Source organism: Homo sapiens, chromosome 1, assembly GCF_000001405.40.
Source record: "Homo sapiens chromosome 1, GRCh38.p14 Primary Assembly".
Lineage (NCBI taxonomy): Eukaryota > Metazoa > Chordata > Mammalia > Primates > Hominidae > Homo > Homo sapiens.
Window position 1 is genome coordinate 202115417 of NC_000001.11, and position 7308 is coordinate 202122724.

Genomic DNA, 7308 nt, shown 5'->3' on the forward strand with positions numbered 1-7308 from the left:
TAGAAAACGCCTAGAAGCTGGGCCCACCCTGTTTCTGATCTAGCAGGTCTACGGTGGGGGTTGAGAATGTGCATTTCAAAACAGTTTCCAGGTGTTTCTGACCCTGATGATCTAATAAAAAACCACTGATTTACAGTATCTTACAGTCCATATTACCTTTTAAAATGCCTTCACAATGACTGCATTTTATTACCATAGCATGCTTGGGGGGTCTTCAGGCCCAGGAGAATACCCCTTACCTTTTACTGAGGGGAAACTGGAAAGACAGAGCGGTCTCATGATCTTATGACTTCATCACAATTTATAGCTATATTACTTGCAATTTGGCTTTTTCAGTGACTGCCTCGTTCGCTTGAATGTGAATTTCTTTCTTTTTTTTTTTCTTTTTTTTGAGACGGAGTCTCACTCTGTACCCCGTATCCCAGGCTGGAGTGGAATGGCATGATCTCGGCTCACGGCAACCTCCGCCTCCTGGGTTCAAGTGATTATCCTGCCGCAGCCTCCCAAGTAGCTGGGATTACAGGCACGCACCACCACACCCAGCTAAATTTTAGTGGAGACGGGGTTTCACCGTGTTGGCCAGGCTGGTCTCGAACTCCTTACTTCAGGTGATCTGCCTGCCTTGGCCTCCCAAATGCTAGGATTACAAGCGTGAGTCACTGTGTCTGGCCTCAAATGTTAATTCCTATTTTTTTTTTTTTTTTTGAAACAGAGTCTCGCCAGGCTTTAGTGCAGTGGCGTGATCTTGGCTCACTGCAACCTCCACCTCCCAGGTTCAAGCGATTCTCCTGCCTCAGCCTCCCAACTAGCTGTGATTACAGGCGCCCGCCACCACGCCCGGCTAATTTTTGTATTTTTAGTAGAGACGGGGTTTCATCATGTTGGCCAGGACGGTCTCAATCTCCTGACCTCGTGATTCGCGCACCTCAGCCTCCAAAAGTGCTGGGATTACAGGTGTGAGCCACTGCGCCCGGCCTCGAATGTGAATTTCATGAGGGTGGAGGCCATGCTGTGTTTTTCACTCTGTTTCCCAAATGCCTAGGACAATGCCTGGCACATAGTAGGTGCTCAACAAATATTTTCAAAATGAGTGACTGACCTATTCCTGAAATCACAGGGCTAGTTAGTAGCCGAGTTGGGACTCAGTCCCAGATCTCCTGACTTTTAGATGCATGTTTTCCCACTAGTGGCCCTTCACCTGTCCCCTGGAGCAGCACCCAAGTGCTACTTGGGGCCAGGGGCCCAGAGCTTGGAGGAGAATGACACAGTGAGATCTGGTGGGTCAGACTATCTATGCTTCCCCCAGCCTTAGTCCGTGTCCAGTATAGGCCAGACCCATGTTCCTGTTCAGAACTGGAACCCGGGCAGGGGAAAGAACTTGTCTCAGAATTTGCCCTCTCTGCCTCTTTGGCTGCCTTCTGCTTGTTCAGTTTCCAAATCTGTAAAACAGGTAGATATAATGATAGTACCCTACCTCATAAGGTTGCTGTGAGAATCAAATGAATTCTAGCCAGTAGGTAACATGTATATAGTGCTTATTATATGCCAGATATTATTGTAATGACTTACATAGATGAACTCATTTAATCTTTTTTTTTGAGACTGAGTCTTGCACCGTTGCCTGGGCTGGAGTGTAGTGGCGTGACCTAGGCTCGCTGCAACCTCCATCTCCCAGGTTCAAGCAATTCTCCTGCCTCAGCCTCCTGAGTAGCTGGGACTACAGGCACGCGCCACCATGCCCGGCTAATTTTTGTATTTTTAGTAGAGACAGGGTTTCACTATGTTGGCCAGGCTGGTCTCAAACTTCTGACTTTGTGATCCACCTGCCTTGGCCTCCCAAAGTGTTGGGATTACAGGCGTGAGCCACCATGCCTGGCCTTTTTTTTTTTTTTTTTTTTTAGATAGTGTCTTGCTATGTTGCCTAGGCTGGAATGCAGTGGCTATTCACAGGCGAGATCACGGCACACCATAGTCTTGAACTACTGGCCTCAAGGGATCCTCCTGCCTCAACCTCTCAAGTAGCTGGGACTACAGGTGTATGCTACCACACCTAGCATAACTTCATCTTATTTATTTATTTATTTTGAGGCAGAGTCTTGCTCTGTCGCCCAGGCTGGAGTGCAATGGCACAATCGTGGCTCACTGCAGCCTTCATCTCCTGGGCTCAGGTGATCCTCCCACCTCAGTCTCCTAAGTAGCTGGGACTATAGGCATGCACCACCATGCCCAGCTAATTTTTTTTTTTTTTTTTTTTTGGAAACAGAATTTTGCTCTTTTCACCCAGGCTGGCATGCAATGGCGCAATCTCGGCTCACTGCAACCTCCGCTTCCCGGGTTCAAGCGATTCTCCTGCCTCAGCCTCCCTGAGTAGCTGGGATTACTGGCACCCGCCACCACGTCCAGCAAATTTTTTTGTATTTTCAGTTGAGACAGGGTTTCACCATGTTGGCCAGACTGGTCTTGAACTCCCGACCTTAGTTGATCCACCCGCCTCGGCCTCCCAAAGTGCTAGGATTACAGGCGTGAGCCACCACGCCCGGCCTTAATTTTTGTATTTTTTGTAGACACAGGGTCTTGCCATGTTGCCCAGGCTGGTCTTGAACTCCTGAGCTCAAGATAGCCTCCTGCCTCGGCGTCCCAAAGTGCTGGGAGGGGACAGCCACCACACCCAGCATTTAATCCTAATCTTCACAACAAGCCTGTTATTATCTTCACGTTGCAGATGAGGCAACCGAGGGACAGAGGTTACATACTTGACCAAAGTCACATACACAGTTAGTAAGTGGCAGGGCCAGGAATTAAATCCAGGCAGTCTGATTCCAGAGTGTGCTCTTGGCTGGAGAATGCATGGCACATGGAATCTGCTCAGTACAACATTCGCTCATTTTTTTCATGGGTGGCACTTCCACACCAGCTCAGATGCCCTCAGTGCCACCTCAGTGCTTCCCTCCCACCCGGTTCCAACTAAGTACCTTTTCTTTTCTTTTTTTTGAGACGGAATCTCGCTCTGTAGCCCAGGCTGGAGTGCAGTGGCACAATCTCGGCTCTCTGCAACCTCTGCCTCCCAGGCTCAAGCGATTCTTCTGCCTCAGCCTCCTGAGTAGCTGGGATTACAGGCGTGTACCACCACACCCAGCTAATTTTTGTATTTTTAGTAGAGACGGGGTTTCACCATGTTGGTCAGGCTGGTCTTGAACTCCTGACCTCGTGATCCGCCCACCTCCACCTCCCAAAGTGCTGGGATTACAGGCGTGAGCCACCGCGCCCGGCCCCAGCTAAGTACCTTTTCTGTAGCCAGCACTGGGGAAACTCCCAGGGAGAGGAATGGGGAATTCCTGGGATCATGGAGAGACACTCCCAAGGGCTAGGAAAGCCTTCCATCTCTGCCTGGCATGCTTCTGAATAGGGGAGATGGCTCCAGCTTGTCCAGAGAGAGGAATCTTCCTAAAGTAGAACTACAGGTAGGAGAAAAGTACTTTTGGGGGACCCATGCTGGGCACCCTCCAGGGGGGTGGAGGGGAAGAGTAGGCACATCCCCCATCCCTTTAGTCTCAGCCCCTGGGAACCCACCCTGTCCCCTATCATCTCTTTTCAGATGGCCTTCTCAGACAGCCACAGAAGGTCTGTGGGCAGGACCTGGGCAGAGTGGGATGGGTTAAGATCCGATGGGGTGAAGGGCTGAGGCCAGGCCCTTAACTACCATCACTGGACATTTGGTTCCACCTAGTGGCCTCTGATGTTCCAACCGTTCTCACAGAGACCGGCACAAGGGGGTGCCCTTTCAGGCATTCAGTGTTTATTGAGCACCTACTCTGTGTGAGGCCAAATGTGAGGTTTGATGGAGGCATATCCATGAGCATAAAGAGGCTGGGCACGGTAGCTCACGCCTGTAATCCCACCATTTTGGGAGGCTGAGGTGGGTGGATTGCTTGAGCTCAGGAGGTCTAGACCAGCCTAGGTGATACAGGCAGACCCTATGTCTACCAAAAAAAACACAAAAGGCTGGGCATGGTGGCATGTGCCTGTGGGCCCAGCTACTTGGGAGGCTGAGGTGGGAGGATCAGTTGAGCCCAGGAGGAGTTGAGGCTGCAGTGAGCCTAGATCCTGCCACTGCACTCCAATCTGGGTGACAGAGCGAGACCCTGTCTCTGAAATAAAATAAAATAAAATAAAATAAAATAAAATAAAATAAAATAAGAAGCAGAAGGTCAGGCAGGGTGTGTGCACCTGTAGTCCTAGCTACTCTGGAGGCTGAGGTGGAAGGATTGCTTGATCCCAGGAGTTCAAGTCTGCAGTGAGTATGATCATGTCACTGTGCTCTAGCCTGGGCAATAGAGCAGGACTCTGTCTCTGAATTTTTTTTTTTTTAAAGAGCAGAGAACTAACATTTATTCTGCTCACACGTACCAGCCCTGGGCTTGGGTCCATACTGTATTGGCACGTGCCTGTGGAGCACTGAGGATCCCACAGCAGAGACAGGACTGCCAAGTGCCTGGCCTGGTCACTTGGCTTCTCTGGACTTCCGTTTCCACTCCTGAAAAATAAGAAGGTTGGTGTAGATTATCTCTAGCATCTCTTCCTATGTTAGAATTCTGTGAAGTCACACAAAGGAGTGGTTAAGAGTTTCAGCTTTGGGCTGGGTGAGGTGGCTCACACCTGTATTCCCAGAACTTTGGGAGGCTGAGGCGGGTAAATCACTCGAGCTCAGGAGTTTGAGATCAGCCTGGGCAACATGGCAAAAAGCCTGTCTCTACTAAAAATACAAAAATTAGTCAGGTGTGGTGGTGCACATCTGTGGTCCCAGCTACTCTGGAGGCTGAGGTGGGAAGATTGTTTGAGCCTGGGAGGCTGAGGTTGCCGTGAGCCAAGATCATGCCACTGCACTCCAGCCAGGGCAACAGAGCCAGACCCTGTCTCAAAAAAAAAAGAGTTTTAGCTTTGGAGTTGGACAAACCTACATTTGGATCCCAGCTGTCATTCACTAGCTGTGTGTTCTTAGGAAAGTTGCCTTACCTTTCAGAGTCTAGGGTAATAATATAAAGATTAAGTGACAATTATAGCAAGCATTTAGCACAGAGTGTGGCACTTGGTGAGTGGTGATGCTGCAGATGATGGATGATTCTAGTTACCCAAATCCCCAAATAGCACACCTCTCATCTCCTCTCCTCTCCCCTCCCCTCCCCTCCCCCAACTTCCTTTCCTTTTCTCTTTCTTTTTTGATGGAATCTTGCTCTGTCGCCCAGGCTGGAGTACATTGGCCGCAATCTCAGCTCACTGCAACCTCCGCCTTCCGGGTTCAAGTGATTCTCCTGCCTCAGCCTTCTAAATAGCTGGGATTACAGGTGCCTGCCACCACGCGTGGCTAATTTTTTTTTTTTTGTATTTTTAGTAGAGACGGGGGTTTCACCATGTTGGTCAGGCTGGTCTTGAACTCCTGACCTTGTGATCTGCCCACCTCAGCCTCCCAAAGTGCTGGGATTACACACATGAGCCACTGCGTCTGGCCCTTTTTTTTTTTTTTTTTTTTTTTGAGACAGAGTCTTGCTCTGTTGCCCAGGCTGGAGTGCAGTGGCATGATCTCGGATCACTGCAACCTCTGCCTCCTGGGTTCAAGTGATTCTGATGCCCTAGCCTCCCGAGTAGCTGGGATTACAGGTGTGCACTGCCACATCTGTCCAATTTTTGTATTTTTAGTAGAGATGGGGTTTCACCATGTTGTCTGGGCTGGTGAAGGTGGTAGGTTTCAATGACAGCAGCATAATGCCGTGGGAGTTGGGAGGAGGGAATGATCTGACTCACTCTGGGGCAGGTCTTCGAGTTAATTCTCCAGTGGATTCTCCTAGGCATCGTGTGGTCCGTCCTCAGAACTGTGCCTCCCTAATGTGGCTGAGTGGATTCACTACCCACCCCATGCTTGGGCTCTGCCTCGACCTCTCCCTCCCATGCACAGCCAAAGCCGCTCAAAGCTGCTGGTTTTCCTTGACTCTGGGCTTCTCTCCATCACCCACTGCCTCCCAACAGAACCCCCGGTCTCTGCATCCTCCTGTTCCAGATTGCTAGGACCCCAGCTGCCCATCAGGGACCCCTCTAAAATAACTTAGTTGAGTCATTGTTTGCCTACTTAACAACCTGTGATATTCTCCATTGCTTATGGGATAAAATCTAAACTCCTTGGCTTGGCATACAAAGTCCTTTACAGTCCAGTTCCTCCTCTGCTGATATTTCCAAGCTCTTTGTCCCAAGTGCCCATGCTCTCTCCCCACCTCCCTTGCACTCTAGTCCCCTCGACAGACTTGCTCTCTTGCGGGAACATCACCCACTTCCACATCACCCAGCCTTTGTGTGTGCTGTGTCTTCTGCCTAGAGCACCCTCCCTTCCCGTAGTCTGTCAGGCAAGCTCACAGCCATTTCTCGGGATCCATTCAAATGTCACCTCGCTTGGGAGGCCTTCCAGATCCCCCCCAGATTTTCTTGGGTTCCCTCAGCATCATGACCTTTGCCTTTCATAGCATCTATCATGCTGAACTTACACATTTACTTCCTTCTCTGGACTGAAAGCTCATTGGTGGCAGAGATCCTTTACATTTTTGTATTCTGAGTGTCTGGAACACAACACGTAGTCAGTAAAGACGTGTTATTGCAAATGTCCACACATCTTGTGTCTGGCTCAGAATATGGTGTTTTAGGCCGGGTGCGGTGGCTCCCAGCACTTTGGGAGGCTGAGGCAGGCGGATCACCTGAGGTTAGGAGTTTGAGACCAGCCTGGTCAACACGGTGAAACCCTGTCTCTACTAAAAATACAAAAATTAGCCGGGTATGGTGGCGGGCACTACAGTAACTGTAATCCCAGTTACTCAGGGGGCTGAGGCAGGAGAATCACTTGAACCCAGGAGGCGGAGGCTGCAGTGAGCCAAGACCGCGCCATTGCACTCCAGCCTGGGCAACCGAAAAAAAAAAAAAAATTAGAAATCTCTGGAGTCAGATCTGGGTTGTGGGCCTTGCTCTGCCTTGTATCAACTATGTGGCAAGTGACTGACCTCTACAAACCTCAGATTTGTGATCTGAGATTAATCAAGGGTTAATTGAGAAACCAGCTGAGTGCTAGCACCTAGTAAGTGTTCAGTAAGTGACAGTGATGGTTATTGCTGAGTTTTGAATGGAGGAGCTGCCTTAGAATCAGGAGACCTGCGCCCCAGTTCCCATTCTGCCCCACCTCCCTGTGTCACCCTAGGCAGGCCACATTTCCTCCCTAGTTTCAGGGGCCTGAAGCAGATGCCCTCTTAGGGCCCCACAGCCTGACATGCTGTA

At 50.0% G+C, this 7308-nt stretch overlaps 3 annotated features.

Moving 5' to 3' along the window:
• Window positions 2785-3470: an enhancer, noted in NCBI's record as "H3K27ac hESC enhancer chr1:202087329-202088014 (GRCh37/hg19 assembly coordinates)". NCBI's record gives its function as "activates a minimal SCP1, AML or CMV promoter by ChIP-STARR-seq in primed H9 embryonic stem cells {active_cell/tissue: H9 hESC(primed)}" and the evidence as "EXISTENCE:reporter gene assay evidence [ECO:0000049][PMID:30033119]".
• Window positions 2785-3933: a biological region, named in NCBI's record as "CRISPRi-validated cis-regulatory element chr1.10703". NCBI's record gives its function as "regulatory_interactions: ELF3".
• Window positions 3366-3933: a transcriptional cis regulatory region, noted in NCBI's record as "candidate enhancer chr1.10703 targeted for multiplex CRISPR interference". NCBI's record gives its function as "positively regulates ELF3 gene expression with high confidence in K562 cells {active_cell/tissue: K562}" and the evidence as "EXISTENCE:mutant phenotype evidence [ECO:0000015][PMID:30612741]".